This window comes from Homo sapiens, chromosome 2 (genome assembly GCF_000001405.40).
Source record: "Homo sapiens chromosome 2, GRCh38.p14 Primary Assembly".
Lineage (NCBI taxonomy): Eukaryota > Metazoa > Chordata > Mammalia > Primates > Hominidae > Homo > Homo sapiens.
The window spans coordinates 155,197,892-155,213,548 of record NC_000002.12 but is presented as its reverse complement, the minus strand read 5'-3'; the positions used below and the strand labels follow the sequence as shown (position 1 = coordinate 155,213,548).

At 33.7% G+C, this 15,657-nt stretch overlaps 1 long non-coding RNA gene across 1 annotated transcript; it reads right to left on the bottom strand.

The window, feature by feature from the left end:
- Positions 1-218: 218 nt before the first annotated feature.
- On the bottom strand, positions 219-5,387 carry LOC107985952 (uncharacterized). Its single transcript, XR_001739745.1, has 3 exons — positions 5,277-5,387; positions 1,715-1,772; positions 219-299 (listed from the first exon to the last, which is right to left on the bottom strand). It is a non-coding gene; the product is annotated as an uncharacterized LOC107985952 (long non-coding RNA).
- Between the last annotated feature and the right edge of the window lie 10,270 nt (positions 5,388-15,657).

The window sequence follows — 15,657 nt, the reverse complement described above, 5'->3', positions numbered from 1 at the left end:
TGGCAGCCACAGTGTTCCATCACTTTAACTGCAATCTTAAATCTAAAGATCAAGCACTAAACACCAGAACTGTTGGCTCTGGAGTCACCACACATTTGCTTGACAAGGGGCTACCTTGCCTCTTGTATCTCTTTTCTTCTCTTCTTTCTTCTCTTCTCCTCTCCTCTTTCCTTCCCTTCTTCTTTTACTCCTCTCTTCACCTTATTTCTCTTCCTCTTCCTTGTTTCTTCCTCATTCCCCTTCCATGCCTTTCATCTTTCTTCTCTCTATCTTATTTCAATTCACTTTCCAATTCAGATCTACATGAAGAAATCGGATGAAAGAAATCTAAATCACACATAGGTCCCTAGCTTCAATGAACTCAAATAGCATGTTTCTTTGCTTTCTATCTCTGCAGTAAAGGAAGGTCCAATAAAAAGGAGGTTGGGATGGATGATGGATAATCTATAATGGTGAATATTCCACACCTTCTAGCTCTGACTTTCCAGCCTTAAGTCTACAGTAAAAGTTTTGCTGTGGTTTATGAAAATTTCCGCAACATACTTCCAATAATTCTCTCTGGTCTCTTGAAAGGCAATTCCTGTTAGCATCTGATAGTTTCCTTTAATTTGGTTGAAACTGTATGGTATGTGTCAGTCACTCCAGGTTTTGAGGATGCCATTGAGGGTGTTTCCTCATACAATCATGAAATAATGGAAATTTATTTCTCTTCACCTGCTACATTTATTTCTTCAGGACACAGAAAGCCTGTTATTTTCAGATAACTTCCGTGCTATTCCTTTACAATCTATTTTAGGAAAGTGGTTACTCAGATACTTTTTACCAGAAATCACCAATTTAATTTAACAATTTGGTGACGCTAATTTTTTTTCTGTGTTTGAATGTGAGTTTTGCCAACTATAAAAACAAATGTTCAGCTTCTAAATTAGGGACTTGTAGAGAAATGTGTAGATCAGAACCAACAATAAGTCCATATTTAAGTGGACTAAATGGCTTTTAAATTGAGACTTTTAGATCAAGATTTCTCAGCCTCAGCATCATTGACATCTCAAACTGGAAATTTCTTTGCTGTGAGGAGTAGTACCTTGTGCAATGCAGGATGTTTAGCAGCATCCGTTGCTTTTACCCAGTACATACAAGTAGCACCCCCAATTGGAACCAAAATGTCTCCAGACATATCCAAATGTTCCCTGGGAGCCATAATTGCCTTTGATGAGAATTACCACCTTAGATGTTACTTTTAGTGTTACCATTAGGCAACTAAGTAGCACATTTGCAAAGTGGTAATTTCTGGAGTTTTACAGAATTAATACAATATTCAAACAAAAACAATCATGGCTGAGCCTGGTGGCTCACACCTGTAATCACACTTTGGGAAGCTGAAGCATGTGGATCACTTAGGTCAGAAGTTTGAGACTGGCCTGGCCAACATGGCAAAATTCCGTCTTCACTAAAATTACAAAAATTAGCCAGGCCTGATGGCGCACGTCTGTAATGCTAGCTACTTGGGAGGCTGAGGCATGATAACCACTTGAACCTGGGAGATGGAAGTGGCAATGAGCTGAGATTGCACCACTGCACTCCAGCCTCCAGGCTCCAGCCTGGGTAACAGAGTAAGACTATGTCAAAAAAAAAATTATAAAAACTGTGGCTCAACTTTCTATTTGGGAAGATATTATAACCCAAAGGAGTGGATAGAGTAAAAAATACTTACATATGCTTGGATGCACTTGATTCCTCTTCCCTTTGCTTCATGAATGTTAATCCTGTTCCTGATTTGAGAAAGTAAATGAGTGTTTAAAGGAAGCCTCACTACTTAACAAAAATGCATGGTATATGCATGCTAACTTTATTTTTGGGTGGAATACATGACTGCCAGTTGTGCTGTACAAAGGCAATCATATTTTTATTTATCATGTACCTGGTCAATGAGTTCAAGTACAGATATCCATTTTCACGAACAAAAATCCGCTTAGGTAACATTGTTTTTTATAAATTCAATGTCCTTTAAAAGATGATACAAAGAGAAATGAACTACACTATGAAATAAGGATCAGAGATGCATTTATAGGAGAAGACATGTATATGCTTAAAATGTTCATCTGTTCACTTATTAAACTGGAATTGAGTGCCCTGGAAATAGAGACGGGATTCCAAATTCTATATATTCCAGGCATATTTCAAAATAGTATGAAATGTAATAGTTTTTTATTTGTTTTGGTTATATTTTATTATAAAATTTAGCCTAACTTATCAATGGTAAAATGCAAAGTAAATACTCTTAACTTATTAGTTCTGAGAATTGAAAAAAATTAGAAATTATGGAACTTATTTTCTATAAGTAATTATCATATAAATTATATTTAGAAAAATTGCATTGTTTTTTCTTAAAAATTATAAAAATTTGAAAGTTGAAATGATTGTTTATTAAACGTAATAAGATGATATGCCATTTTGGTAAATATAATGGCAATTTCTGTTTAGGTTTAATTATGGACTTAAGTGGGAAGACTTCTTGATGCATGATTTTTGTCAGGAGTTTGGACATTTTTGTAGAATCTTAAGAATTTATCCACTTATAAAAATAGTTTTGAAAGAATAAAACTGTATTTAGATTGCCTTTTCTAAAACACAAGTTGTTATTAACAATTTATTTAGTAGAAAATTCTCAAAAGAAAAATTATGAGAAAATAAATGCACAAGATAAAAATAATTTTAGAAAGATAAAAAGGGTCTACAAACCCTCTAAATTTAGCACATTTTTCATTCATCTTTACTAAGGCAAATACCTACATATATTTACATTCATAATTAGCTTAGAAAAAAATAGGATATTGCTCAAATATTTATGTGTCATAATATCTGACCTTAAATTTATACAGACACATACAAAAGAATGCATGTAAAAGTTTTTGATTCAAATGTCTGTATAAGTTTTCAATTCAATTCAAATGTAACACACTCAAGAATGTGGTATAATTGGTGTTAGTTTTAAGAGCCTCACAGAATTTTATGTTTCCCATTACTCCTAGCAATATTGTTTCATAATTATTTCATGGAATTTGCTTTAAATTTGAGTTCAAGCCATTTTCAGACCATAAAAATAAATGGAACATGCCAATGCAATAAAAATCATTTCCTAACAAAAGCTGAAATTATTCATTTTTATTTTGTATGAAACTTTTAGTATAATGACTTTTCTCTGACATCTGATTAAACACTAAAGTATGCTCTGCTTCTCTGAAATAATGGACTGGAATGAATAAATCTGTCTACCAGCAACCTCATTTCACAACAAGTTTTATTGTCTACCTTTAACTGGAAAGAGATATTTCCTTTCTCATGTAAACTTTATCCTATAATGGCTGATTTATAACTTTTAGCCGTTTCATTCTGTCCTTTTAAATGTGTGCAAATAATACTTTAAAGAACTGAGCACTTATTTAAATGCAAAGGAAAAATCTTAATGTATAATTTTATGTTTGTATATTTGCAGAAGAGCTAAAAGAAAAATATCCTATTTGTGTACATGCATAATTGTTACCTCTCCTTATAGCCAAGCTGATAATAACATCTAGATCTTTTATGCAATATTCATATTTGCTAGCCTGCCCGCCTTCCTGCTTCCTTCCTTCCTTTCTGTTTCCTTCTTTCTCTTCCATTTTCTTTCTTTCTTTTTTCTTTTCTTTTCCTTTCTTTCTCTTTTCTTTTACTTTTTCTTTTCTTTCTTTCTTTTTTCTTTTCTTCCTTTTCTTCTTTCTTTCTTTCCTTCTTTCTTTTTTCTTTCTTTCTTTCTCTTTATCCCTTTCTCTCTTTCTTTCTCTTTCTCTCTCTTTCTTTTTATCTTTCTTTCTTCAAATGTTTATTGACCTGGGACTCTACTTCAGTGTGGGGGCACAGTGGTGAATAAGACCAGAGAATCCTTGTTTTAATGGAGCTAATATTTTAGTGTAAAGAGGCAGCTGACAAAAGTTAGTATGCTAAATAAATTATTTTAATTATAACTGCCTGTAGAAAATAAAAGAGGTAAATGGACTGGAGAGTGAATGTGCAGGAATAAAGTATCTTATTTTCAAAAATAAAAAAGTAACAAAACTTCTCTAACATAAAAAAGTAAATGAATTAAAGATACAGATAAACAAAGCATAGTTAAGAAATTAGAAGTATTAGACACATAGTATGAGGAACATAGACTGTCAGTCCATTTTAAATCTAGTTTGCTATGTGAAAAATGCAGTTTTAAATATTTCAGATTTAAAGCACATGACTAAGAAAAATAAATTGTATATGTAAAGGCAGATTAAGATGAAAATCAGTAAAGCTATAGGGCTGAGAGATGCTGCCATATTGTACTAACTGTATATTGATTGTATAATCATCCTTGTAGAGATTGTGCTTTTATGAGGCGAGAGTAAAAATGAATTGAGGAAAAATTCTGCAAGATAAAATTTCCATCCTCAAAATATGTTTTACTTGCATCTAGCTATTTCCTATCCTAGAATTATCTCCCCTATCCCATCACCACCTGACTCACCTATGTCTTTTCCCAATTTACTCCCAAACTCATCATGGCTTAAATAAAACTGCCAGGAAAATGTTTTCTGATTATCCAGACTACTAATAGGTCAGGGCTTCCATTCTCCTCTCATAGTGTTTCATGCTTCTGTTTGTATCTTTATTTGCATGACTCTATCTACTCCCTGCTCAATACTGAGCAGTTGAAGTATACCCGAGTGACCTTGAGCTAGCGGTATTTCTCCTTAAACTAATTTCAACAATTAAAAAACATAAAAAATTTTAAAACTTTCCTAATAACATTCTCATACAGTAAAGTGTCCTAGAATTATTCAGTTCCTCTGAAAAATCCTCTCTAATCAACTCAGCTTCTCCTTCCTGGCAATTGCTAAATCTGTCTCTTGGTCTCAGTTGGTCTTAAAATATCCCATTGAGATTTCACCATCCCCCCTACTCTTTGTGTTAAAACAATAAGGATATTAATTAACAAGAAGTCCAAATGTAGAGTATCTTCCAAGTTGGTGCTGTCTTTATTTTCCACTGTCCTCACCTTATTGGCATTTCCCTTGGGCTTTGATGCCTATAGTTACAAGAAACTGGCTACACAGACAAGCAAGACAATGCTTTTCTCCTCTTAGGTGTCCCATTTAACAGCAATGAAACCTTTCCTAGGAGTCCTCTCACATATGACCCCTCACGTTGCCCAGAATCACACAAACTCTGGTGATCTAACCAGTCACTCGCAAGAGCAATGAGATTACCATAACTAGTTGAGGTCAGTGGTTCACAAAGAGTGATCCCTTGTCAGCGACAGCATGATCTGGAACTTGTTAAAAGTGCAGATTCTCAGGTCTGACTCAATCTGGTGGTGGGACTGTGCAGTCTAGTTTTTTGTTTTAACACATCTTCCAGATGATTCCTATGTAAGATAAAGTTTGAGAAATGACAGTTTAGAATAATTAGGATTTATACTTGAGTTGGGGATGAATTCACCTTATTCGAAGTTATATGGATACTTCAAAAAATCATGATTTATTTGAAAAGAAGTGTGCAATGGCTTTGCAATATTGTGGATGTTGTTCAAATTATCAGAAGCTGCAAAGAACGTTCCACATCGACAAACTCCTCCCTCTGTGACCAAGGTCTCTATATAAACAGTGCCAACTTTGTCTCTAATATAACAGTGCCTAAACTATAAGCCTTCTAAGGGCAGGAATCTGGCTCACCTCTCTATCTGAGCCCCTAAGTGGCCCTGTAACTAACAGTAGGTAGTCTAACCTTTTTTGAATTAATGGCAGTTTTTCTCTACAAATGCTTAAATGTCCCATTTTGGTGCTAAGAGATATGGGGGGTGATTTCAGAAGCAGGAGAGTTTGAAAATGCATACTGACTCTTGTCCATTATTTGGAGCTGTGGCACATATCTAAATCTTTTGAAGACTGAGTGTTTCTCCCAAAAAAAGGGCTCTTCCTTTGAAACTAAACCTCCTTAACACAACTGGTCTTCAACATATTCTTTCTCCTTTTTTTGCCAGTAGAAATGAATATGCCTCACAATAATTCAGTTTGGAACCTGAAAATCTAAGTCTCTAATTCAAGTGCAGGTTACACAGATAGTGGAAGACAGTACCCTTGATTAAATCCCGGCTCCATCACTTCTTATAGTGTGACTTAGAGGAAGTTACTTATTTTTCCCAGTGTATTTTTTTAATTGAGGGAAAACACACATAGCATAACCTTTACCATCTTATGCCATCTTAGCCATGTTTAAGTATACAATTTAGTTGTATTAAGTATAATTAAAATGTTGTACAGTCACGTTACCAACATCCATTTCTATAACTCTTTTAATCTTGTAAAACTGAAACTGTATTCCTATTAACAAAAACTTCCAAATTTCCCCTTCCACCTGCCACTGGTAACGACCGTTCTACTGTCTGTCTCTGTGAGTATGACTACTATAAGTACCTCATATAAGTGGAATCATAGTCTTTTGTGACTGGCTCATTTCACTTAGCATAGTGTCTTCAAGGTTCATTCATGCAGCATATGTCAAAATTTCCTTCTTTCATTAAGGCTCAATAATGCTTCAATTCATGTGTATACCATATTTTGCTTATTCATTCATCTACTGATGAACTCTTGGCTGGCTCCCATGTTTTAGCAATTGCAGATAATGCTGCTATGAACATGGGTATAAATATCATTTTGAGATCTTGATTTCAATTCTTTTGGGTATATACCCATAATTGGAATTGCTGGATCATATGATAATCCTATTTTTAATTTTTTGAGGAACCATCGTACTGTTTTCTACAGCAGATGCATGATTTTACATTTCCACCAGCAGTGCACAAGTGTTCTAATTTCTTTATATCCTCATCAACACTTGTTACTTTCTGTTTTATCAATCATAGCCATCCTAATGTGTGTGAGATGGTATCTCGTTATAGTTCCGATTTACATTTCCCTAATGATTAGTTGTGTGAGCATCTTTTCATGTGCTTATTGGCATTTGTATATCTTCTTTGAAAAAAAATGTTTATTTAGGTCTTTTTTTCATTTTTGAAACAGATTCTTGGTTAGATTGCTTTTCTTTTTCATAATCACTATTCCTCTTCTACTTTTCTCTATGTGTTTATCTCCCTCCTGTCTTCACAAATAGAAAAATTTAGCCTTTTGAAATAGTCAACTCCAAATATTACCCTAACCTGGCAGCAAACTGATATGGTTTGACTCTGTGTCCCCACCCAAATCTCATCTTGTATCTCCCATAATTCCCCCCTGTTGTGGGAGGGACCTGGTGGGAGATGATTTAATCAGGGGGGTGGATCTTTCCCATGCTGTTCTCATGATAATGAATGGGTCTCACAAGACCTGATGGTTTTAAAAATGGGAGTTCCTCTGGTCAAGCTCTCTTTGCCTGTTGCCATCCACGTAAGATGTGTCTTGTTCCTCCTTGCCTTCTGCCATGATTGTGAGGAGTCCCTAACCGTGAGGAATTATAAGTCCAATTAAAACTTTTTTTTAATAAATTGCCCAGTCTTGCATTTGTCTTTATTAGCAGCATGAAAACAGAATAATACACAAATGTACAGCTGTCAGGTTAGGGTAATATTCCCCATCATTTTGTCCCCATTACCCAGCATGGTGGCAGGCCCAACAGAGCTATAAATGTCAACTTACTATTCATGAATAAGGAAAAAAGGAAGTCAATTGAAATTCAAGAGACCAGCTTTATAGGAAGAACCTCACCTTTTGCTTTTGCTGCTTATTTTTCTTTTGCACCAGAACATCTAAGAACAAAAATTTAATGGGCACTGTAGCAGGAGGGAATGGCAGTTGTGAAGTCTCTACTAGAGATTCAGACTTTCTTTTGTCACAGGTACAGAGCCAAGGCCACTTTGAACAATAGTTATTATTAATCCTGAATCCAAGGCCTTTAAATTTTCTACAAATATATTTGAAACTTGACCAACTGATCAGTAGGATTGATTCCAAAATAATTGAAGAGAAAAGCTGCTCCAGTAATCAGTGTATTGCCTCTCAGCACCACATTCACACTTCAGTACTTTCTCTGCAATGATGTATGGGATTCTGTCAAGTATTTCCCATTTACAGTGAACATGTGTGTTGTTAACCTTTCAACACTGCAGGGAGAGGGGACTTCTCTTTTGGATTCAGATTGCAGCATTGCTGGTCAGCAATGCGGGTGTGAGGACATTGGGTTGTACTTTGTTCCAGTAACACATCTGGAAGACAAGTCCCCCCAGCAACAAACTTGCATCTCCAGTGGGCCTGTTGATCACCTTCCTGTGGTCTTCCCTTTGTGTAGTACCCTGTCCTCTGGCAGGTTTGTTTTCTGCCTTCCCAGTGACGGTGCAGCGGCTCTAACCCTGGCAGCTATACAGTGGGCAACCGCTCCTTCCCAATGAAGACGCCTGAATTCCAACTTTGAAAAAGGGTCTCCCCTTTCTGGTTTGGTCTTTCTTGGGTACTCTTCTTCAGTCCTAGGATTGGATTTTTCCAGATATGCACAATTGCCAAGAAATCACAGTCAACTAAAAACTGAATGAATTTCTTGTATCTAATGAATTTCAAAAACCAAATCACCAAGACCTTTGAAATGTGTGTAGAAAATATATAGTTAAAAGATATTTAATTTTTAGTATTTTGCTATGGTCTGCAGGTCTCCAAAATAAAAATACCAAAGGCTTACCAAAATATTAAACCTAACCTAGCGAAAACTAAAACTGATCAGAGTTAAATGATGAAACCATGTTACAATGATTTTTTTCTTTTTTTTTTCAAATGTTAAAGACTTTAATTTCAAAGGAACTATGTGGAAAGCTATGGAATTTTCAGTATTAAGATGATGCAGACTGTACTTAAAAATTAAAATTAGTCAAATTTAATAGTAGTGATTGAAAACTATTTCAATGTTAATACCTTATATCTTTCTCCACATATATTCTCCATAATATCCAAATTTATATTTTATAACATTTGGATTAAAACTACTAGGTTAAATTTTACAACACAAATTTTGAAATTGCTGATATTGTAAGCTCTATGCTTCTCTCAGTTAGCTGGGCTTAAATAAACTTTCATCTCCCTAGGGGCTTACTGATACACTATTAAAATGTTCTGAATTGTCTGCTACTTCACTATGACCAGAGATTGCCACTTAGGGTGTTATTTTAAATGTCAGCTATCCATGAAGACAGTAAATGTGGGTGGGAGAGAGAGAAAGAGAGAACATTTGATCATCTGCTTTGTAATTAATTGGGCCTAAATTTCAAATAAGTAATATTTGCTATTTTTTATTCGCTAGTGAATAAGTTTGTTCACCCCTCCCTGCTGTGAAGAATCAACATTTCTCAAATAAGACTAATGATTTACTTCTACTGTGTTTGACTATGATTTAATGGACATAAAATGTGTCCTCTATTGTCTTTCTCTTTATTCCAGTAATATGAATTTCCTTGCTAAAGTTAAAAAATAAGACCATCCTGACATAAGACACTTTCGATAAAATGGAAGCATTAATTATCAAAAGAAAGCAGAGGCAAAATATTTTAAAATATAATAGGATTGATTGAATAGTTTATTTTTCATTCAGATATCTGGGACTTTTTTGAAAGCTACTGCCGAAAGTACATTCAGAACAGCCTGTGGATAGAGTCTTCTTTAGGCCTAGATCCTATTTCCTGAGTCCTAATGCTGAATTTTCATGTCGCCAAACCCAGTCATTTTAGCAGTTCTTTGTGGGCCACTTATTTAAAGCAGGTTTTCAGTATTTCTGGAGGAGCAAAATAAAGCAAAGAACATTTTTTCTATGTCTATTTTGCACGATTTATTTTTGTAAACATACAGAAACATAAAAATAAAAAGTAGCATGAGAAAACCTCAAAGAAGTATGATAGGTTAACTTCTTCTAAACAACCTCATCTGATATTAATTTCTTAGAATTTTAGCTACTAGCAATTTTTCTGTTTTAAAAATTGGAAACATACATACAGCTTCTTGTGTCAAAGTGCTTTAGAGTGAGATTTTTATCTTTTATATGACTTTCCTTTGATGTCTATTGGAGACATATTTTCTGCAATGCAGATCAGCCTGCATTTGCATTTAGCACCCAAGTGGGGGTGTCTGTGGCTTTCTGTAGCAGTCTAAGTTCCATTTTTTTCCACATCCTCATTAACATGCAGCATCTTTGAGGGAAGTTTGGCTGAGGTGCCTCAATTAGAATGGGATGCTTAAGGTCCTCAGGCCTTTTGATCATTTATGTCTTTACACGGTGTTTTCCCATCCAACAGAGGGTAATGCCTGAGTTGCAATGAGTTGATCCTTCAATAAAGACAGTCAGTGTAGCTTAATTTGGAATAAAAATGATTGCCATTAATAAGCTTAACTTTCCAGCAATCCAGCTTTCTTTAAAGCAGTCCCTCTGGGAATGTACATTAGACTGCCTTTGACAGACTGCAAATTTGGAAACCCATAACTCTATAAAAAGTTATAAATATTTTGTTATGCATTATGAGTCTATTTATTATGAATATAATAGCTTAAAACATATCACAAATAAAATAATGTTATTTATGAATAAAAATGTGAATTACCAAGTGGGCAATTTAAGGATTAATATTAATACCCTTTATAAATTTTGATTAAATCTAAACAACTACTGGATCTTGAAATGCATATTGCATATGTAGAAAGAAAAATATTTCTACTTATTCTTAAATTTTTGAAAAATGTTTGTTGTCAGTTTCTCCTATATGGGTAAACATGGTAATGAAAATATATTGTAGACTCAGGAAGTACATGCCATTAATGTGAGAAATAGAGTGGTATGTCAAGTTTTTTCGTAGTCTTATTGAATGTATGAACCACCTCCATAATAAATGCCCAATCCCACATTCACATAAAATTTTATAGATCCATCCGTTGTCAACTGTCTTTACCTCTTGATGACCTTTTGGGTTCCCATGATCTCCAAGTGAAGATATTGCATATTCATAATGCTATTTAATCAGAAGAAAGGGATTATTGTCATCTTTGAGCTCTCTACTTATTGACTAATTTATTTTGGAGAAATCGTCACTGGTATTTGAGAAAAACATATCCCTAGTTATTAAAAAAAAAAGGTACAATGCAGATTTGGTCACTTAGAATAAGTATTACATCAGATATTTTAGATTATCAAATGCTTACTTTTAATGTAGAAAAGCACATATCTCATATAATTTGCACTCTGTAAACTCATGGATAGAAAAGCAGTACAGTGATTTTAGATTTTAATTGGGTGCTTCAGAAGTGCACCCTAAGCCCCAAACCACTTATGTTTATTACTATGAAGTATCCCTATTAAAATATGAAATAGACCACATTTTATTGCCTCTTGTATTATTACTTTTCATTTTGTGAGAATAAAGTTGAAAACATGGCCTATTTCCCTTTGGCTGTAAGTATCAAACAAGCAGATGTAGCAGGCTGTGTTATAGAACTAATTCAATATAAGTGGCTAGAATCAATTAATATAAAATTTCTAATCCATCAAGGAAAGATTTAGTAAAGCACATTTATTAAAATATTTTGATAACACACCCAAAATAATAAAAATATATTAAAACAACTAATTTTTGAGCCTACTCTATATTGCATATTGCTATTATATTAAGCGTATTGCCCCATATCTAAAAATAACTTTTCAAATAAAATGGATTCCATTTTACAGGTGAAGAAATTGAGAAATAGAAATGTCAGACTAATTGCTCTGGTGTCAAACCATAATCACAAACGAATTTTATCTGGCTCCAAAAATTTTGTCTTCCTCTTATGTAATGTGAACTCTGTAAAAGCGAATAAATACTTGATTAGGAATTGTATTGTGTCTAGCTTCTTTGTGTTAATGAATGTAATTTTGAGCTTAAATTCTTTTTTTTCTATCTATAAAATTTTGAAAATAAATTTTACTATTATAAAATAGTAAGTGAGCTTTTAAAGATTATAATCACAGTCAGCAGTTGTCTCTTTGTAAAAAATTACATAAAATGTGCATACCATAAATTCCACCCTTCAAAGTGTAAAATTCAGTGGTTTGGGTATAGTCTCAAATTTGTGCAACCCACACTGTATATAATTACAGAATATTCTCATCATTTAAAAAGAAATTAGGAACCTATTAACACTCAGTAGCAATTTTCCCACTCCTCATCCTCTGGCAACCATTCATCTTATTTATGTCTCCATGCATTTGCCTGTTCTAGGCATTTCATAAATAGAATCATATAAAATATATTTTGTTGTATCTGGCTTCTTTCAACAAGTATAAACTTACCAAGGTTTATTCATGTAGCAGGTATTAATAACTCATCCCTTTTTAAGGCTGAATAATAATCCATTGTATGGATACACCACATCCTGTTTTTCCATTCACCAGGTTTTGGATATTTGGGCTGTCCCTAGTTTTTGGCTATTTTAAATAATGATGCTGTGAACATTAGAATATGCATTTTTTTTGTGTGTGTACCTATGTTCTGAGTACTTTGGGTGTGTACCTAGGAATGGAATTGGCTGAGTCATATGAAAATTCTGTTTAATTTATTGAGGAATGATCACTGTTTTCCACAGCATTGCAGCATTTTAAATACCCACACAGAGTCTACAAGGGTTTCATTTTCTTTGCATTCTTTCTAACACTTGTTATGAGTATTATCTATCCTTTTTTTAATAGCCATCTTAGGGTATGTGAAATGGTATCTCATTATGGTTTTGATTTGCATTTTCTTGATGACTACTAATGTTGAGAAATGTTACATCTGCTTATTGGCTATTTATTAATCTTTTAAAATAAAACATATACCTCATTTTTTTGCCTAATTTTGAGTAGGCTAGTTTTCATTCATTACTGAGTCGTAAGTTTTTTTATATGTAACAGATATATCTGACATATAAAAAATCTTATTAGATACAAATCATAAATATTTTCTTTCATTCTGTAGGTTGCATGTACACTCTCTTAATAGTGTCTGTTGATATACAAGTATTTAATTTTGAAGTACAGTTTATTAACTAATGATTTTATGTATTTATTTATTTAGCTTATGCTTCGGATATTATATTTAAGAAACTGTTGCCTCAAAGCCAAGGTTATGAAAATTTAAACCTGTGTTTCCTTTGAAGAGTTTTAAAGTTTTAGATCTTGCATGTAGGTTTTAAATTCATTTTATGTTAATTTTAGTATATGATATGAGGTAGGGGTTCATCTTCAATTCTTTGCATGTGGCTATTTTGTTGTCCCACTGCCATTTACTAAAGAGACTATGTATTCTCAATGAATGGAATTAACATCCTTTTCAAATATCAATTGGCCATACACTGGGTGCGATGGCTCATGCCTGGAATCCGAGCACTTTGGGAGGCTGAGGCAGGTGGATTGCTCGAGGCCAGGAATTGAAGACCAGCCTGGCCAACCTGGCGAAACCCCATCTCTACTAAAAATACAAAAATTAGCCGGGTGTGTTGGCATATTCCTGTAATCCCTGCTACTCAGGAGGCTGAGGCACGAGAATCTCTTGAACCCAGGAGACGGGCGTTGCAGTGAGCTGAGATGAGGCCACTGCACTGCAGTCTGGCTGAGAGAGTGAGACTCTCTGAAAGAAAAGGAAAAAAAAATCAATTGACCATAGATGTGTCAGTTTATTTCTGGACTCTCAATTTTATTCCATTAATTTTTGTTAATTTTCCCTATTTTTTTATTCTCTCTCATTAATTTTCACTCTAATCTTTATCATTCCATTATTTAAGTGGTTTAGGTTAGCTTTTCCTCTTACTCTAGTGTCTTAAGATAGAAGCCTACATTATTGATTTCCAACCTTTCTTCTATTTTAGTATAGACAATTACAGTATTCCATTTCCCACTCAACACAATTTTAGCCAATATCCATAAGTTTAGGTATACCCTGCCTGTATTTTATTCATATCAAAATATGTTCTAATTTCTCTTGTGATTTCATCTTTGAACTATTGCTTATTTAGAAGTATGTTGCTTAATTGTTACATATTTATACACTTTCCAGATTCCCTTCTGTAACTGATTTCTAATTTTATTCCATTGTTGTTGAGAAGATACTTTGCATGATTTCCTTCTTTTAAAATTGTATTAAGACTTTTATTAATGCCCTAATATATGGTCTATTCTGAACAATGTTCCATGCGCACCTCAGAGTGTCATCCTCACGTCTTCTGATTTTTATAGTTTTTGACAGTAAATTAGCTAATGATGTTACAGAGAATTCTGTGTAATAATGAATCATTGCTCTCTTGTTGCTTCCAAAATTTTCTCTTTGCTTTTAACTTTCAACTGTTTGATTCTGCTATGTCTAGTTGTGGCTCTCTTTGAGTTTTTCTATTTGAAGTTGGCTGATATTTTTAGATGTGCAGATAAATTTTTTAAACAATTTTGGGGATTTTTTTAGCCATTATTTCTGTAACTATTCTGTCTGCCCCTTTCTTACTCTGTCTTCTTGTGGAATTCATATCATGTATATGATGATATATAGATAGTTCCTGGCTTCCAATGGTTCAATTTATAATTTTTTCAATTTTAGGATGGTGCAAAAGCAATACATTTTCATTATGTTTCTTGATTTACGATGGGGTTACATATGTATAAAACCATCCTAAGTTGAAAACATTATAAGTCAAAAACTCAAAACTCAAAAAACTCAAAAAATAGGATATCTATATATATCTATGTATCTATATATATCTGTATCTATATCTCTATCTATCTATGTATCTATGTATCTATCTATCTATCTATCTATCTATCTATCTATCTATCTATTAGTTCTGTCCCTCTATAGAACCCTAATACACAAGTCAAACCTGCTTTTCAACCTCTCTGGTGAATTTTTTATTTCAGTTGTTCTTATTACCTCCAGAATTATCTATATTATTTTTACTAGCATTTTCTTTTGATTCGTATTCTCTATTAAGACATTGTTCTCATACTTCAGATTTTCTTTTTTTTAAATTTTATTTTGTTATTATTATACTTTAAGTTTTAGGGTACATGTGCACAATGTGCAGGTTTGTTACATATGTATACATGTGCCATGTTGGTGTACTGCACCCATTAACTCGTCATTTAGCGTTAGGTATATCTCCTAATGTTATCCCTCCCCCCTCCCCCCACCCCACAACAGTCCCTGGAGTGTGATGTTCCCCTTCCTGTGTCCATGTGTTCTCGTTGTTCAATTCCCACCTATGAGTGAGAACATGTGATGTTTGGTTTTCTTTACCATAGCTTCCTTTAGTTCTTTGAACATATTTAAAATAGTGTATTTAAAATATTTGTCTAGTAATCTCAGTTTCCTCAGAGACAATTTTAGTTGACAACATTCTTTTCCTTTTTATGGGCCTTACGTTCTTATTTCTCTTTGCCTGTATTATAATTTTTTGGCTAAAAATTTGACATCTTTAATATTATAATATAGTGGCAACTTTGGAAACAAAATTACCCCCTTTACCAGGCTTTTATGTTGTTGTTTCTGTTGGTGTTGCTGATGTTTATTTATGTAATTCCTTTCATGAACAAGTTCTGTAAATTCTATATTCTTGGTCATGCATGGCT